The 19,970-nt window shown below is 36.1% G+C and overlaps 1 protein-coding gene and 1 pseudogene across 46 annotated transcripts in view; both read left to right on the top strand.

Moving 5' to 3' along the window:
* The window catches only part of LARP1B (La ribonucleoprotein 1B), a 162,138-nt gene that overhangs the window by 92,299 nt on the left and 49,869 nt on the right, over positions 1–19,970 (top strand). For 22 of the 46 annotated variants that reach the window (NR_146772.2, XR_007057935.1, XM_047415872.1 and 19 more), the window contains one exon: positions 9,107–9,230. The exons of 5 other annotated variants lie outside the window; for them this stretch is intronic. Coding sequence is in view for 37 of the 41 variants with exons in the window: in XM_047415872.1 (XP_047271828.1) it covers positions 9,107–9,230 (124 nt within the window). In the remaining 4 variants the exon portion in view is untranslated. Of the gene's footprint in view, positions 1–9,106; positions 9,231–15,730; positions 15,759–19,970 lie in introns of all 46 variants that reach the window. 19 more of the 46 variants (XR_938753.3, XR_938754.3, XM_017008340.2 and 16 more) reach the window with 1 other exon arrangement.
* Positions 2,253–3,312, top strand: FOSL1P1 (FOSL1 pseudogene 1; annotated as a pseudogene).

Raw genomic sequence — 19,970 nt, forward strand, 5'->3', positions numbered from 1 at the left:
TTCTCCTGTCTCAGCCTCCCCAGTAGCTGGGATTACAGGTGCCCGCCAGCACACCCAGCTCATTTTTGTATTTTTAGTAGAGACGGGGTGTCACTATGTTGGCCAGGCTGGTCTTGAACTCCTGACCTCAGCTGATCCGCCTGCCTCGACCTCCCAAAGTGTTGGGATTACAGGCATGAACCACCACGCCTGGCCTTGGTTTGCCATTTATTTATTTATTTATTTATTTATTTATTTATTTATTTATGAGACAGACTCTCAGTCTGTCGCCCAGGCTGGAGTGCAGTGGCGCGATCTTGGCTCACTGCAACTTCCGCCTCCCGGATTCAAGCGATTCTTCTGCCTCAGCCACGGACTACAGGCGTGCACCACCACGCCTGGCTAATTTTTGTACTTTTAGTAGAGATGGGGTTTCACCATTTTGGCCAGGCTGGCCTCGAATTCCTGACCTCGTGATCCATCCGCCTTGGCCTCCCAAAGTGCTGGAATTACAGGCATGAGCCACAGTGCCTGGCCAGTTTGCCTTTTAAAATGTGGTCTTCCCTGGTTTATCCCTGGCCTACTTCTCTTATTATTTTGATAGCTTGTCTAGAAATGATAGACTCTATTCTTAAGTTTTGGGTTTTTATTTATTAACTGTATGCTAATGACTCCCTTGTGTCTTTGTGGGACTCTAGAACTATATTACCGGTAGCCTACTAAATTCTCCAGTTATTTGTCTTATGTTTCATAGGCATCTTTTTTATATTCTGTCTCTCATTTTAAAAAATGAAAGAAAACCCACCCCAAACCTATATTTTTTATTTTGCTTGGATGCCTTAGGAATCCCCATCCACTTATCGTAACTTCTAACATGCAGTTTGTCACTAGGTCCTATCAGTCCTTTCATATTCATTCCTACTGCCATGCGTCATCTCTCTATAGAAGTTTTATAGGATGTTCTTGGCTCTAGTTCATTCTCTTTCTAGCTTAACTCTTGTCAGAGTAGTCTTTCCTCCTTATTTCTCATTTCATTTTTTTTCCCTAGCAAATTAGATAATTTACTACAAGTCCAAGAAGCAGTTCTTGATTTTAGGCAAGGCTTTGTATAAGACACCAAAGAAAGACTTTGCTTTTCTTTACCCCTATCTTTGGTGTACTTTGCTCTGTGTTAGCTTCATTTTCAGTTACGCTTTCTCTGAGTGGGAGCAACAGTGGCCATTGATGGTTTCAGGCTTTCATTATTTTCAAAGTAAATGATTCCAAGGAAAATCCTTCATCCTTCTAAAATCCTTCATCATCGTAAAATATAAATATGATTATTTCTCTGTTTTTCTTAATTCTATTCAGTGGTTCCTCACCCCCTTCAGGATAAAGTTCAAATTCTTTGGCAAGCAAGAATTCATGAATTCTTGATTTGGCTTTTACATATTTTCATTGTCCTGTTGCTCTCTGCTTTAAAATTTGTATCCATAAATACCAAGTTGCATGTGCAGTTTCCTCTGCCTGCAGTGGCTTTTCACATTGTTTACTTGCCAAATTCATTATCTTTTAGCTAAATAAACCCCAGTTCAGATATTACTCTTCCAGGAAAATCTTATTTGATAAATTTTGTGCTCAATCCCAGAAAAATTACTCTCCTGTTCTACCTTTGCACCACATATGTATGTTTGTTTTTGACTTATACTGAATTGTAATCTGTTTACAAAATTTTATTTTTTTTGAGACGGAGTTTTTTGCTCTGTCACCCAAGTTGGAGTGCAATGGTGTGATCTCGGCTCACTGCAACCTCCGTCTCCTGGGTTCAAGCAGTTCTCCTACCTCAGCCTCCTGAGTAGCTGGGACTACAGGCGCCCACCACCACGCCCAGCTAATTTTTATATTTTTAATAGAGATGAGGTTTCACTATGTTGGCTAGGCTCCTCTCGAACTCTTGACATCAGGTGATCCACCTGCCTTAGCCTTGCAAAGTGCTGGGATTACTGGTGTGAGCCACTGTGCCCAGGCTACAAATTTTTTTATATCCATTAGATCATTAAATCTCTTTGGTCCCTTTTTGAACAAGGCAAGGTATAAATTTATTAAAAATAACAACAACAACAAAAACAAAAACCAAAATTAGGCTTTGGTTGTGCATCCAGTTGTGGTAGACTGGCTAATTCAGATGAACCCTATTGCTGAGAACAGCTGAAAAAGTAGGTTTAAAAAATCTGTGTGAAGGCACAGTAGAGGGCCAAGACAGTAAAACATCATGTGGTCAAAATCTGGAAAGAGAGTCGGAAGCCAGCGGCCGTGGACCACGCGGAGCCGCCAGCCCGGGGCATGTTCTGAGACTTCAGGGAACCCGGCCCGAGCTCCGGGAATGGCGTGGGTATGGCGACCCCGCGCAGCCCCCCGGCCGCAGTGCAGGCAGCCCAGCAGAAGTTCCACCTCGTGCCAAGGATCAGCAACATGAGTGGCAGTGAGGAGCTGCAGTGGATGGTACAGCTTCATTTTCTGGGGCCCAGCAGTTGCCCCAGGCCTCTGACCTACCCTTAGTCCAGCCCCCTACAACCCCAGCCAGGAGCCATCCGGGCCCTGGGGCCGCCTCCAGTGGTGTGTCCAAGGCCTTGTGAACAGATCAGCCCGGAGGAAGAGGAGCGCCGCCGAGTAAGGCCCGAGCGGAACAAGCTGGCTGCGGCCAAGTGTAGGAACTGGAGGAAGGAACTGACTGACTTCCTGCAGGCGGAGACTGATAAACTGGAAGATGAGAAATCAGGGCTGCAGCGAGAGATCGAGGAGCTGCAGAAGCAGAAGGAGCGCCTGGAGCTGGTGCTGGAAGCCCACTGACCCATCTGCAAAATCCCCGAAGGAGCCAAGGAGGGGTACACAGGCGGTACCAGCGGCACCAGCAGCCCGCCAGCCCCCTGCCGCCCTGTACCTTGTATCTCCCTTTCCCCAGGGCCTGTGCTTGAACCTGCGGCACTGCACACCCCCAAGCTCATGACCACACCCTCCCTAACTCCTTTCACCCCCAGCCTGGTCTTCACCTACCCCAGCACTCCTGAGCCCTGTGCCTCAGCTCATCACAAGAGTAGCAGCAGCAGCGGAGACCCATCCTCTGACCCCCTTGGCTCTCCAACCCTCCTCGCTTTGTGAGGCACCCGAGCCTTACTCCCTGCAGGTGCCACCCTAAGCAACGTCTGCTCCCCTTCCCCCACCAGTCCAGCTGGCCTGGACAGTATCCCATACCCAACTCCAGCAGCTGCTTCTCCATCCCTCTAATGAGACTAACCATATTGTGCTTCACAGTAGAGCCAGCTTGGGGCCACCAAAGCTGCCCATTGTTTCTCTAGAGCTGGCCTCTCTAGCACAATTTGCACTAAATCAGAGACAAAATATTTCCCATTTCTGCCGGAGGAATCCTGGAAGCCCAGAGACTTTGTAGATCCTTAGAGGTCCTCTGGAGCCCTAACCCCTTCCAGATCACTGCCACACTCTCCATCACCCTCTTCCTGTGATCCAACCCTACCCCCGTGACAGAAGGTGCCACTTTACCCACCTAGAACACCAACTCACCAGCCCCACTGCCAGCAGCAGCAGGTGATTGGACCAGGCCATTCTGCCGCCCCCTCCTGAACCGCACAGCTTGGGAGGTGCCCATGGCTTCTGTGATGAGCTGATCTGCAGATCTCAGCTTTGAGAAGCCTTCAGCTCCAGGGAATCCAAGCCTCCACAGTGAGAGCAGCTGCTATTTATTTTCCTAAAGAGAGTATTTTTATACAAACCTACCAAAATGGAATAAAAGGCTTGAAGCTAAAAAAAAAAAAAAAAAAAAAAAAACTGGAAAGAGAAGAAAACCTAGAGAAATAAGGCTGGCATTTGGGTCTTCATTTCCCTCAGACTCATCTGCCAGTTCCATCCTAAGCCTCAAGCTTTTAGTAATAGTGTCTGATCCTCAAAAAATAATTAGGAATATTAGAAGACAATATGATATGATAGAAAAAAAACAAAAGAAACAACAGGAAATAGAAACAGACCCCTAGTGATCCAGAAAATAGAGTTATCAAGCAGACTTTGTTTTTAATAAGTTAAAAAATAAAAGATAAGATGGAGAATTTCAGTATAGAGCCAGAAACTTTAAAAAATAATCAAGTGGAAATTTTAGAAATACAAAATATGATAATCAAGTGCAATGGGTAGGCTTAATAGTAGATCAGGACAGTGAAGAGATAATTATTAAACTGGAAGATGGATCAAAAGAAAAATCCAGAGTGAAGCATTGAGCAAAAAGATGGAAAATACAGAAAAGGGTGTAAGAGACATAGTCTAACACATATCATTGGATCCTCCAATGGGGGAAGAGAGAGAGAATAAAGCGTAAGTAATATTTGAAGAGATTATGGGTAAGAATTTTCCAAAACTGATGAAAGACACCAAAGGACAGATTCTAGTCCTAAAAACTTCAAAGAAGATAAATACAGAGAAAACCTCATCAAGACCATATAAAACAACTGAAAACAAAAGCTGGATAAAAAGGACAGATTACAAGCATTAATAGTAAGACTTACAGCTAACTTCTCAGTAGAAATAATGGAGGTGAGGGAACAAAGGGATGATGTAGTTACAGTGCCTGAAAGAAAGGGAAAATAGTGTTCAAGAATTAAGGTAAACAAATAAGTGAATTGTACGCTTAAATAGGTGAATTTATGAGATGTAAAATAAAGCTCTAAATAAACCTGTATAAAAATGAAGGTAAAATAGAGATATTATCAGAGAAATGAAAACTATGAAAATTTATTTGCAGCAGATCTGCTTTAAAGAAAATACTAAAGGGAATTTTTCAGGCAGAGGACAATGATTCCAGAAAGAAGGTTGGAGATGCAGGAAGAAATGAAGAGCAATGGGAAGGGTAAATATGTGTATATATTTAAATAAATAGTGGCAATAAACACAACAACGCTGGTGTAACTCTATTTACTCTATCAGGCAAAGTAGGTTTTTAAGGCAAAACTTATTCAAGATATAAAGATGGATATTTTATAATCATGACAAGTTTCATTGCCTTAGAAGATATAATATTTCTAAATTTGTGTGCATCTAATAATGTAGCTTCAAAGTACATAAAATTTGCAGGCAAATAGGTGCATTCATAATCATAGTGGGAGATTGTAACACACACCTTTCGTATAAAGAAAGGTGTAAGATGGAGCAATCAGAACCAAAAAATCAGTAAGGTTATACAAAATGTGAATGCAGTTTAGAAAAGTGAATTCCAGATGGATTATAGTTCTAAACGTGAAACACAAAATAATAAAACTTATAGAAATAATAGCTCAGTAATATTTCAGTGGGGAAGATTTATTGAACAGGAAGCACAATGAAGGAAATGATTGATAAATTGCACTACATTAAAGGACTTCTTTTCATCAAGATACTATAAGAGAATAAAAAGGCAAGTTAAAAAAGTGTCAAAAAGTATTTACAATATTTTATAAAGAACTCTTACAAATCAATAAGAGAAAGACAACCCTATAGAAAAATGAGCAATAGTATTGAATAGTCATCTCAACAAAAGAAGCTATCCAAATCAGCAAATATACTCAAGCTTTTCAGCCTCATTAGTAATCAGAGAGATACAAATTAAAGCTGCAGTGAGATAACACATATACCTACCAGGATGACTACATTAAAAGCTTTTTCTGAATATTTATTTTGAGATATTTATAGATTCACAGGAAGTTGCAAAAAGTGTACAGAGAGGTACTGTGTACCGTCACTTCCCTTCAAAAGTCACATCTTATATATAACTATATATACATCTTATGTAACTATAGCACAATGCTGGGCAAGGTAGCTCATGCCTGTAATCCCAGCTGTTCTGGAGGCTGAGGCAGGAGGATTGCTTGAGGCCAGGAGTTCAAGACCAGTGTGGGCAACATAGTGAGACTTCATCTCTTAAAAAAAAAATTAAAAAAAAAAATTAGCCTGTCATGGTGGCATGCACCTGTAGTGCCAGCTACAGGTTGAGGTGGGAAGATCACCTGGGCCCAGGAGTTCAAGGCTACAGAGAGCTGTGGTCGTACCACTGCGTTCCAGTCTGGGCAACAGAGCAAGACCCTGTCTCTAGGGAAAAAAAAAAAAAAGGAAATATGTTGTGTAATATTAAAACAAGAAAATAGACATTTCTTATCACAAATGTATGTGTATAGTTTTGTGCCATTTTATCACATGTAGATTCATATAACTATCACCACAGTCAAGACACTGAACTGTATTATTACCACAAAGTTCTCCCTGTGCTCTCTAAAGTTACCCCTTTAGAGTCTAACCCACCTGCCTCACCTCCACTATCCCTAACCCCTGGCAACCACTAATCTGTTCTTCATCTCTATAATTTTGTCATTTTGAGAATGTTACATGATGGAATCACACATTTCTTAGAGCAATTTTAGATTCATAGCAAAATTGAGCAGAAGATAGATTTTCCATAGATCCTCTTCCCCTACACAAGCATAGCCTCCCGTATTGTCAACATCCCCTACCACAGTGGTACATTTGTTGCAGTTCATGAACCTACCTAGATGCATCATTCTCACTAAAAGTTTATAGTTTACATTAGGGTTCATTCTTGTTCAAATGGCTAAATTTTGAGACTGAAAATACCACACATTGGTGCAGATGTAGATCAACAGGAACTTTAATATACTGCTAATGGGGATAAAAATAGGTACAGCCACTGTGAAAAACTGGCATTTTCTACTAAGGCTAAATAGAAACCTACTGCTCAATTCAGCAATTCCACTCCTAAGTAAATATCCAACAAAAATTTGTGTCCCTGTTCCCCAAAAGAAGTTTTTGTAAAAACGTATTTATAGGAATTTGTTTGTAATAGCTATAATCTGAGAAAGGACCCAAATGCTCATCAATAGCAGAATGGATTTCTTAAAAACTTGCAGTGTATTCATATGGTAGGATAGAGCAAGGGTAGACAAATATAGTAAATATCTTAGACTTTGTGGGTCATACGTTGTCTGTGGTCATACATTGTCTACCTAACTGCAGTTGTAGCAATGAAGTAGTCATAGGCAATATGTAAACAAATGAGTGTGGTTATGTTCCAACACAGCCATTTATAAAAACAGGCTTTAGCCTTTGGGCCTGTAGTTTGCTGACCTCTGCTGTAGAGCCACAAACTGTGGTTACATGCACGTACATGGATCAGTCTCATAAACATAATTTTGCATGAAAGAAACCATGTGGTGTAATTCAATTTTTATAAAGTTCAGAAACATGCAAAACACCTACTGTATTGAAGGTGTATGAGCTATTTTGGGGGAGAAAGAGGAGATCCTGACCAGAAGGGACATGAAAAGGAAGCTTCTAGGGTGCTAATAATTGCTTTACCTGAATGGTGATTAAGTCTGTTTACCTTCGATTATTCATTGAGATATATACTTATGATTTGTACACTTCTTGTGTGTGTGTGTGTGTGTATGTTATACATTAATGAATTAGTTAAAAATAAAAATAAACAAAAACATACACAACTTGTGTTTCCATCAGGGTAGAATTGTGTTATTTATCTCTGGCATGTAGTAAACATACAATAATTATTTATAGAATTGGGAGTTGCTAATAGCAAGCTCTGTAGCAAGATAAAGGACAAGAGGAGTGAGCAATGATTCTGATTTAGCCTGAAGAGCTTATTGAAAACTTTTGAGGAAGAAATGTTGATAAATATACATTTTGATGTAATTAAAGGTACTTTAGTGAAAAAAGATCATAATCTAAAAGGCTAACATTGGGATTTAATAAATGGTTTGAGCTGACAAGTGACTTCATCTTTGAAGACAGAAGGAAAAGATTCTTTTGTTATTAAGAGCAAGCTACAACTATTTTGTAATGATATTTAATTTCCTTCCTGTTTTAAATTTGCTTCAACCCGAAAAATTCTTTCTTATGTTTTTTACTTGCTTAAACCCGCTTTGGATGTTGCCCTGTAAAGATTCATGTACCCATTAGTACCATGTGGAGTAGATGTGATATAGGGTTTTATTGGGAAAAACTTAGAAGAAATAGTGGAGTGTAAGCAGTCCCTCAAACTCCTTTTTTATCTCACAGTTTAGGCCAGACATAGAGGGTCTTTATGGTTCACCTGGGTGAACCATAGGGTTCAACCTTTAGGGTTCAACCTTTAAGTTCACCTGTGGCCAAGTGAACTTCCAGTAGAGAATGACCTCTACCCTCTGTAATGCTCCACACATTTGTAGGTCAGGGCCGGAAACACTTAAGTGACTATGCAATAGTAGTTACAAAGGGGAAGCCTCCAGAACCCCAGAGGCAGGGAGGGGTCTATTCTTCCTTTGAGCTAACAACTCAAATATACTGAGTCTCTTTGCTGCAGCTATCCAGGGCCATCCAGATTTATCTTTATCACATGCATCCCATTATTATAAAACAAAGTGAAATCTTCTTGACCCAGTATTAAAGGTCTTCTAGTAGCTTTCTCCAACTTCCTCATCAGTCCTCTTTGCCACTGGTTCTACACAGATTTTCTTAGTCACTTAATTACTTTGTAATAAACACATTGCTTTTTCCAAGCTTCTTATCTTTGCTCTCATTACCTATTTAGAATGTTTCTCCCTTTCTCTAAATTCTCATCCTTCAAGAGGTGCTTTTGTCCCATCTCTCCTGTGATGGCTTCCTGATGATCGTAATTCTTACACCAATATCGCTCTTCACATACTACCTAATATTATTTATTTTTATGTGTTCATTTCTTCCTTTTCATCTAACATATAAATTCCTTAATGGTAGGGAACATGTATTAGATTACTTTGTAACGTCTGTAATACCTGGTAGTCTTGTATGTAAATGCTCAACAAATAATTAATGATTAGTATGTGTGGTCTTATAATGTTTTTTAATTATAAAATCATTATAATATTTTAGGGTGTTATATGCCTCTTAGATTCTGAATGTTGTTATTAAGTATAATGCTAGACTCTTTATTAGAACGTCTTTTTCACTCCATTGTAATTAATCCCTGTTTTAGAAGTTCATTTTTTTGAGGTTGGTATCAATTATTGTCTGTTGGTTACTCTGTTAGCCAGTTTAGTAATTAGATTCCTCCATTCTACTTCAGCAAGAAGTTGAGAACTTTAAGAAGCTAAATCTCATTAGTAAAGAGCAGTTTGAAAACCTAACACCTGAACTTCCTTTTGAGCCAAACCAAGAAGTTCCTGTAGCACCTTCACAGTCCAGGCAAGGTATGTAAATCTGCTTTTGTGTAAGTGTCTGAATAGTATTAAAGCAGTTCTGAATTGTTTTTAAAAATTGCTCCTTTTTTTTCTTTATTTGTGGAAAATCATTAGGTAAATGGTAAAATGCTAGAATTTTAAAACTCAACTTTTATCCTTTTGTGAACTTCTATTATCACACCAGATTATGCTCAAAGCCAGAGGCTTACTTAGAAGTAGGCAGAATTTGTTGGTTCTTTATGTATCTGATGTGATTTTAAGATTGCTGGGAATGTTTCTCTTCCCAAAATAAAATTTTTCACTGACTCACTGATCCTTAGAATGCGCTAGAGTCATTCTTTTGTTTTAAGGGCTTAGCTCTGTGTGAGAGTGTAAATAAATACATTGGGAGATCCATAAATTGAATCTGACATTTCAGACAAGTATAACTGATTTTATTATAGCCTTTTCCTGAAGGTGGTTAAAAAAATGATTTATAAAAAGTCACACATATACAAAGATAGAGTGAATTTTATAATAAAACTCCCATGTACCTGCTATACTTAATCATCTCATACCCAATTTTGTCTCGACTCCAGTAACTCCTATACCTCCCTGTGGATTATTTTTAAACAAATTCTCAATCACATGATTCATATTTTTTTGTCCTTAAAGATTTCTGTATGTGTCTTTAAAAAGATAAGGGCTATATCTTTTAACACATAAATAGCAGGACATTATCATATCTAAAATTAACAGTAATTCCTTAACGTTAGATATCTAGTGTTCAAATTTCCTCATTCATCACTTTTTTTTTCCAGTTTCTTCAAATAGATTGCAATAGATTGATATGTCTTTTTTAGTCTACAGGTTTCTACTATTTTTTGCCTTATAATTTATTGGTCCTTGCAATTTGGTATTGAAGAAACTGGGTTGTTTGTCTTGTAGAATTTTTCACATTCTGAATTTTGCTGATTGCATCCCCATGGTTTCATTTAACCTGTTTTCTAGTCCTGAATTATCTATAACTGTTAGTTCAGCATAGAGACTTGATTAGATTAAGACTCAAATCTCTGTAAGAATATGTCATATGTAGTATTGAATACTATTAGGAGATACATAATGCTCTATTGTCTCTTTTTGTAATGTTAGCAGTCATTGATGATCAGTGAGTGAAGCTTTTATTTTACTAGGGGTTGCAAAATAGTGATGATTCTATTTTTAATCATTACGTCTTACCTTAATAGGTAGAATACTTTTATAAAGAGAACTTTCCCCAGAATATTTATTTATTCTGAGATAGAGTTCTTACAGGAAAGTGAGTCAGTGCTGAATTATTTCCCTTTGTTTACTAGTTTCAAAGTACTAGCTGGTTCCTTAACATTCTTCGCTGGTGACTAATGAAGTTTTTGTTTGTTTGTTTTTAAATGATCATTGTGAACTCATAAATACATGAGATGGGTTTCATTCTATTACAGTTATTATTATTATTATTGATACCTATGCCAGTTATCAGTTTATTGACTTTTAGCTCTAAAGCCACCTTTCATTTTCTTGCTCAGTAATAATGGAGTTGGACTGTTAACTTTAATGTTTCCCACCCCACAGAAGGTTGAGCCCCCACCAAGGTTGAGCTTTGTCAGTACCGGATCTGCTACTCAGTTGGTCCTTGTTTCTAGGCCTTTTGAATAGAAAGAGCTAGGAAATTTTTTAAGGAGAAAAATATATTACGTATTCATGTTGATATTTTCTGTCTAAATTTAAGATTATAGGTTTTAATTTTAATTTCTTTGATTTTGTAGTTGTATTGCTTTTTACTTATATATAAAAAATCTTTCTTCCTAACCACAGTAACATAATTATTTATTTGCTAATCCTATGATATAATAGTTCCAGAATAACAATAACATTAAATAATAATATTATAAATACTGAAAGGTAACTTCTTTTAGAGTTCTTTAAACTGTAAACTTTTAAAAACTTCATACTTTAAAGCTTTCTTTAAAGTTCTTAGTGTGTCCCACTAGGGCTGTTCAGTTAAATTGCTGGATTTTTTGCCTTGTTAAATTTGAATACTTTAAAATTGAGAATGTATATTCCTTTGCACATCATAGAAAGCATACAAGTCACAAATAAGGAGATAAATTTGGCATTGCATGACATTAACAAAGAATTAATATCATAGAAATCTAAAACCTTAAAAATTAATATGAAAAATGGCAAACATGAATAGAAAAAGTAGTAAATGAAACATGAACATCAGTTTCATATTTGGGAAGACCAAATGGCCAATAAATATGAAAAGAGGCTATTTTTACTGAGGTTTTCCAATTAAAACCATAGCAATACGCCATATTATAACCCAGCAGTTTCATTTCAAGAGATACTGTTGCAGGCCATTGTGGCTCATGCCTATAATCCCAACACTTCGGGAGGCCAAGGCAGGAGGATCACTTGAGCCCAGGAGTTTGAGACCAGCCTGGGCATACTGTTGCAAATGTTTACCAAGAGAACATTTGTAGTATCATTGTTCATAATAGAAAAAAGCAAATGAAAACTAAAAAATGCCCAGTTATAGTAGAATGTATTATAAGATGTGGTGTAGTCATACGTAGGAAAAATAGGCAGCAGTGGAAAATGAAAGAACTAATGTTACATGTGACAAAATGTGTTAATCTAAAAATATAGGAAAAAATAAAAAAATAAAAAAGGGATGTATAAAATAAGCTAGAACAAAGAAGTTCATTCAGTGTAATGCTATTACATAAAGTATAAAATTCATGGATAGATGCATAGCACATAGGAGCCATGAAGAGAAGCAAGGGGAATTATTAATATAAAAAATTAATATATTAATTTACTCCTGAGGGTGGGGGAAATCCCATCTGGAAGGTCTGCACATGTGTTTGCTAGCATCTGGAATTTATGTATGTATTGGTCTAGTTGGTCGGTATGAGTGTGTATCAGCTCTATTTTAAAATTTATATATAAATTTATTAATTTTTATTTGTGTGCTATAATGTCTAGTTTTTAAATATATGAACAGAAAAATATAAAAATAAAGCAAAAATTTAAAAGATAGAATTTGACCAATATATTGCTATGACAGGAAATGTTGAATAGATTAATGTTCAAATTAAAAGATAATTTTAATCTTTAAATTAATTGGACTTAAAAAAATTCACTCTATGCTAGTTATATGTCATAACATATGGAAAGATTGGAAGGTAAAGGATGGGAAATCATATAAAAGAATGATCCTAATAGAAAAGAGTTGGTATTGCTATTACGATATAGAATTTAAGGCATAAAGAAGGAGTTTATTTTCACTGTCTTCAGTATCTATATTCCTATTTATTCCCTATACCTGCTCCAAACAGGCCTCTGTCCTCCACATCCCAAATCAGCTACTGATAATACCACCAGAAATCTCCATATATAAGAGGGGTCAAATCAGTCCTCATCTTACCTGACATCAGCATTAGATCAAATTAATCGCTCTGTCCTGAAACACATTTTTACTTCCTGGATACTTATTCACTTATTCTCCTTCTGCCTCATAGAGTCTTTTTTGCTAGTTCTTCAGTGTTTCCCTAACTTCTAAAATTTGGAAGCTTTAGGACCCAGTCCTCAAATTTCTCCTCTTTTGAATCCTCAATAACTCCTTGTGTAATAGCATCAAGTCTCATGGGTTTTAAAGAGCATTATTATACTAATGAGTATCAAATTAATATGTATAGACCAGACCTCCATCCTGTATTTCAGACAAATATTCAACTGTGTGGTTAACAGTACCACTTGTATATTTTATAAGCATGTTAAATATCATATGTCCAAAATCTAAGTTCTGAATTCCCACCCCTCTCCAAGGACTCTTCCTCCTAGACTTCCACATCTCTAAATATTACCTCCATTTTTCCAGTTGCACAGGTCAAAACGTTTGTGTCATTTTTGATCCATTTGTTTTTTAAATTCCGTATCTTATTTATTGGAAAGTTATATTCATATATATTTAAAATATATCTAGAATCTAACCACTTCTCACTTTCTCCATCTCTATCACCCTGTAAAAGTCACCAGCGTTTTCTCCTTGGTTAATTGTAATGAACTCCTAGCCTGTCTCCCTCCTTTCATTCTGATCACCCTACAAATATCCAGTTATATTTTTTGTTTCCTCTTAAAAATATATATAAGGTGTACAACATGATGTTTTGATATATATATAGTGTAATGGTTACAATAGTTAAGCAAATGAACATATTCATTATCTCACATAGTTACCTTTTTTTGTGGCAAGAGCACCTAAAATCTCTCTTAGCAAAAATACCAAATATAATATAATGTTATTAGCTATGGCCCTCAGGTTGTACATTAGATCTCTAGACTTATCTATCCTACATATCTGCAACTTGGTATTTTTTTACCTACATCTCCCCATTCTCCTTCATCCCACCCTTGGTAACTACTGTTTTATTATCTACATCTATATACTTTTTTTTTTAAAGATTCTATATATAAGTGACATTATGAAGTATTTTTCTTTCTGTGTCTGGCTTATTTCATTTAGCATAATGTCCTCCAGTTTCATCCATGTTGTAGCAAATGGCAGGATCTCCTTTTTTAAAGGCTTAATTATATTCTATTCTCTCTCTCTCTCTCTCTCTCTCTCTCTCTCTCTCTCTCTATATATATATATATATATATATACACACACACATATATATACATATATACATACACACGTGTGTACGTATATATACACACACACACACATATACACACACACACACATCACCATTTCTCTGTTTATCATAAGTGGACTCATACTTTAGTTGTTCCCATATCTTATATCTTGGCTGTTGTGAATAATGTGGCAATGGACATGTGAGTGCAGATAGATATCTTTCTATGGTGATGATTTCATTTCCTTTGGGTATATATATAAGGTGTACCCAGAAGAGGGACTGTTGGGTCATATGGTAATTCTACTTTTAATTTCTTTACAAATCTCCATACTGTTTTCCACAATGGCTGCACCAGTGCACCTTTTCATATACCTGTTGGCATTGTTATGTCTTCTTTGGAGAGATCTCTAATCAGGTCTTTTGCCCATGTTTTAATTGGATTATTTGCATTCTTGCTATTGAGTTGTCTGAGTTACTTATGTATTTTGGATATAACTCCTAATCAGATGTGTGGTTTGCAAATGTTTTTTCTTATTCTGTAGGTTGTCTGTTCACTCTGTTGATTGTTTCCTTTGCTGTGCAGAAGCAGCTTTTTCATTTGATGCCATGTTTGTTTATTTTTGCTTTTGTTGCCTGAGCTTTGTGGGTCATATTTTTAAAAAAATTAAGATATAGTTTACATTCAGTAAGTTTCACACCATTTATGTATATTATTTTGGGAACTTTGACAGATGAATGCAATCATGTAAACACCACCTAGTTAAGTTACTGAACATTTCCATTGCTCCCTGAGAATTTTTCCATGCCTCTTTGTATTCAACCCAGGCCAAGTTTTTGGCAGTTTGTTTTCTATTTTCTATCCCTATAGTTTTGCCATTTCTAGAATGTCATATAAATAGAATCATATAAAATACAGACTTTTGAGTCTGGCTCCTTTCATTTAGCCTAGTGCCTTTCAGATTTATTCATGCTTTTGTGTGTATTACCTTTTTATTGACAAGTAGTATTCCATTGCATGGATGTAAACAGTTTATTTATCCACTTATTAGTTGAAGGCATATAGGTTGTGTTCCTGTTTTTGGTGATTATGAATAAAGCTGCTATGAGTATCAAGTTGCTATGTGAATATATGTTTTCATTTCACTTGGGTAAATGCTTTTGAGGGCACTGTTGGATCATACAGTAAGTATAACTTTTTAAGAAACTGTCTAACTTTTCCAAAGTGGTTGTGCCATTTTACGTTCTTACCAACAATATATGAGGGTTCCAGTTGCTCTACATCATCACCAGCATTTAGTATTGTTAGTTTTTTTTTTAAAAAATTTTGCCCATCTAATAGTAGTATCTCATTGTGACTGATGCTGTTGAGTATCTTTTTATGTGCTTATTTGCCATCAGTTTATGCTTGGTAAAGTGCCTGCTCAAATCTTTGGACATTTCTTTTATTGAGTTGTTTCTTTTGTTACTGAGCTTTGAGAGTTCTTTACTCTGGATACAAGTCCTTTGTTACATATGTACATATGTAATTTGCACATATCTTCTCAGAACCTGGGGCTTATATTTTCATTTTTTAGGTATATCTTTTGGGCCAGTTGCAGTGGCTCACGTCATGTGGCTTGTCTTAATTAGTCTGTTTGTGTTGTAAAGTACATTGATTGGTTTTCAAATGTTGAACTAGTCTTGGATTCTCAGGATAAGCCTCATTTAGTTATTATATTATCCTTTTATATATTGTTAGACTCAGGTTGCTTACATATTTTTTGAAGCCTTTTGTACTATATTCATGAGGAATATTGTTTTTTTTTTTCATTGTCTTGGATTATATTTGTCTGATTTTGGTGTCAGAGGAATGCTGGCGTCATAAAATGAGTTGGTAAGTGTTCCTTCTTTTGTATTTTGGAAGAGTTTGTCCACAATTGTTTATTTCTTACACATTGGTAGCATTCCCAAGTGATGCCATCTGGGCCTGGAACTATTGGAATGTTTTAAACTACACATTTATTTATTTAAGAAACATAAGACTAAGTAAGTCTTTTTTCTCAGGTGAGCTTTTGTACCTATTGAATTTATTCATTTCCTGGAATTTATAATATGCTCTTTTTCTCCTTTTACTGTTCGTAGGTTCTGTAGAGATATCTCTTCTTTCATTCCTACTATTTATAAATTTGTGTCTTTTTTGTCTTGATCGATCTAGCTAGAGGTTCATCAGTTTAATTTTTTTAAGTTTTATTTTCATTGATTTACTTTATTTTTATTCCAGGTTTATTAATTTTTGCTCCTTATTATTTCCTTTTTTCTTATTTTGTTCCTCCTTTTCTAGTTTGAGTGGAAGCTTAGATCATTTATTTGACACCATTTTTCTTTCCTATTATAACCATTTAATACTACAAATTTCCACCTAAGCAGTATTTTAGGTGTTATTGTATTTTGATTTTCATTCAGTTCTATATATTTTCTAATTTCTTTTTAATTTTTTGATACATCAGCTATTTAGAAGTGTTTTTGTTTAATTTTTAAAATTTGGATATCTTCCTGAAATCTATTTTTTTGAAATCTAATTTTTAAGGGAGAGTTTAAATTATTGATTTGAGAGTTTCTTTTCTGATATAAGCATTTAATATTCTCTCTCTATCTCTATTTCTATCTTTATCTCTATCTATCTATATATTTTTTTAAGACAGAATCTCGGAGTCTCGCCCTGTCGCCCAGGCTGGAGTGCAGTGGTACAATCTCGGCTCACTGCCACCTCTGCCTCCTGAGTTCAAGCGATTCTCCTGCCTCAGCCTCCTAAGTAGCTGGGATTACAGGTCTGTGCCACCACACCTGGCTAATTTTTGTATTTTTAGTAAAGACCAGGTTTCACCACGTTGGCCAGGCCGGTCTCAAACTCCTGGCCTCAAATGATCCACCCACCTCGGCCTCCCAAAGTGCTGGGATTACAGGCATGAGCCATGAGCACAGCCCTTAATTCTATGTATTTTTATTTAAGCACTGATTTAGCTGCATTCCACAAATTTGATATGCTGTATTTTATTAATTTTTATTCTTTTCAAAACATTTTCTAAATTCTTTTGAGACTTCCTCTTTATGGATTATTTAGGAGTGTATTCGGTGTAATTTCCAAGTGATTGGAATTTTTTCAGTTACCCCTCTGTTATTAATCTTATTGATATATAGTTTAATTATATTATAGCCAGAGAACATACTTTACATTATTTTAAAATTTAAAATTAATTTGTTAATTTCAAATTTGTTTAATTAATTTGCTAATTTTATCACCCACAATATAGTCTGTCTTGGTGAATATGCCATATGCATCTGAGAAGAATGTTTATTACACTATTTTTGAGTAGAATGTTCCATATTGTCTGTTCAATTCAGTTGGTTAATGGTGTTGATGAGTTCTATATCTTTGCTGATTTTTTGTCTACTGGTTCTGTCTTACTGAGAGAGGAGTGTTGAAGTCACCACCTATAATTGCAGACTTGTTTATTTCCTATTTCAGTTCTGTTGTATTTTGCTTTATTTATTTAGAAGCTCTTTTGTTAGTTCACCTTATACCCATTGGTATATTGTGTCATCTTGGTGAATTGGCCCTTTCATTCATATATGTTGTCCTTGTTTGCTTTGAAATTTAGTTTGTCTGATTTTAATATAGCCATTCCAGCTTTCTTTCATTTCTTTCTCATGGTATGTGATGTATCTTTTGCCAACTTTTTACTTTTAACGTACCCATATCATTATATTTGAAGTCAGTTTATTATAGATAGCATATAGTTAGTTCATGTTTTTTATTCAGTCTGACAGTATATCTTTTAATTGGTATGTTTTGACTAATGTAATTATTGGTATGTTTGGATTTAGGTCAACCTTTTTATTATTCATTTTCTTTTTCTTTTCTTTTTTTTTTTTTTTTTGGCTTCTATTGCCCATTTTGTGCATTCTTTGTGTTGTTTGTAACTTTTTCCATTACATTTTAATTTATGTACTATGAATTTGGACATATATATCTTTTTTTGTATAATTGTTTTTAGTGATTGCTCTAGGGGTTGCAAAACACATACTTTTCAGTTTATTTGGAATCAGTATTTTACCATTTCAATAAGAATGTAGAAACCTAACCTCCATAGAGATTTTTTTTTTTTCCTTTCTCTCCCCACCGGCCCCACCCCAAGAGATAGGGTCTCACTCTGTTGCCAAGGCTGGAGTGCAGTGGTCTAGTCATGGCTCACTGCAGCCTCATACTGCTGGGTTCAAGCAATCCTACCACCTCAGCCTCCCGAGTAGGTCGGACTACAGGTGCACGCCACAAAGCCCAACTAATTTTTTTATTTTTTGTGGAGACAGGGTCTCACTACATTGACCAGATTGGTCTAGTACTGCTGGCTGGCCTCAAGAGATTCTCCTACCTCAGCCTCCCAAAGTGCTGGGATTATAGGCATGAATCACCACACTCAGCTGAAATTTCTTTATGTAATAATTGTCTTATATATCTTCATATGTTAAAAAGCCCATCAGACAATGTTTGATTGTCTTTCAAGCGTGTTTTACTTTCAAGCGTGTTTTAAATAACTTAAAAGGAGAATAGTCTATTATATTTATCTGGACCTTTACCGTTTATCTTGCTGTTCCTCTATTTGTGATGTTTCAGGTTTCCTTTGTTATCATTTTCTTCTGTCTGAAATACTCAGGTTAGCAATTCTTTTAGAGCAGTTCAGTTGGCTATGATTTATAGTTTTCTTTCTTCTGAGAATGTCTTTATTTCACCTCATTGCCAAGGATATTTTCACTGGATAAAGAATTCTGAACTGACAATTGTTTTCTGTTAGTGATTCAAAACTGTTGTACCACTCCTTTCTGTCCTCCATGGTTTTTGGTATAATAATTTATAGTCATTCAAATTGTTTCCCTACAAGTAATGCATCTCTAGCTACTTTCAAGATTTTTTTTTTTTTTCATCTGACATTTACAGCAAATAGAGTGTGATGTGCCTTGGTATGGAGTTCTTTGGGTTTATCCTGGATGGGATTCTCTGTTTCTTAAATCTGTAGGTTTGACTTTAGACAAATTTGGGAAGTTCTCAGCTATTATTTCCTCAAAAAAAATTTTTAGCCCTGCATTTCTTCTCTCCTAGACCTTTTGTTGTCTCACAGGTTCTTAAGGATTGGCTGATTATTTTTTTTCAATTTCTTTTTTTTTCTGTTGTTGAGGTTGCTTTTCTGTTTTCGGTTCAATTTCTGTTGATTCTGGCTGCTTTTAATGTTTCCTCTGTCACCTATTTTAAGCACCTTAATTACGATTGCTTTGGTGTACTTTTCATGTTTCTTGTGCTTGAACTCACTGGATTTTTAAAATATGTGTGTTTATACATTTTTAATCAAATTTGGAAAGTGTTCAGCTGTTCCTTTAAATTTAAAATTTTAATTAAAAAATTAATAGGCTGGGTGTGGCAGCTCATGCCTATAATCCCAGCACTTTGGGAGGCCAAGGCGGGTGTATCACCTGAGGTCAGGAGTTCGAGACCAGCCTGGCCAACATGGTGAAACCCCATCTCTACTAAAAATACAAAAATTCGCTGGGTGTGGTGGCGCACACCTATAATCCAAGGTACTTGGGAGGCTGAGGCACGAGAATCACTTGAACCCGGGAGGTAGAGGTTGCGGTGAGCCAAGATCAAACCACTGCATTCCAGCCTGGGTGACAGAGTCAGACTCTGTCTTAAAAAAAAAAAGAAAAGAAAATTAATAATGTTTTCTTGTTACTTTTTTCTCTTTCTCTCAAGACTCCAATTACATTTAAAATTTATATTAGGGCACTTGAAGTTGTCCCATACTTCACTAATGCTCTGTTTTGTTGTTGTTGTTTTTCAGTCCTTTTACTCTGTTTTTGTTTTAGGTAACTTTTATTCCTCTCTTCAAGTTTATTAGCCTTTTCTTCTACAGAGTCTATTTTTAATCCCATCCAATGTGTGTGTGTGTGTGTGTGTGTGTGTGTGTGTGTATGTGTATGTTTTAAAATCTCAGCTGTTGTCCTTTTCTCATCTAGAAGCTTGATTGGGTTCTCTTTTATACTGCCTATATATATA

Source organism: Homo sapiens, chromosome 4 (assembly GCF_000001405.40).
Source record: "Homo sapiens chromosome 4, GRCh38.p14 Primary Assembly".
In the NCBI taxonomy this organism is placed as follows: domain Eukaryota; kingdom Metazoa; phylum Chordata; class Mammalia; order Primates; family Hominidae; genus Homo; species Homo sapiens.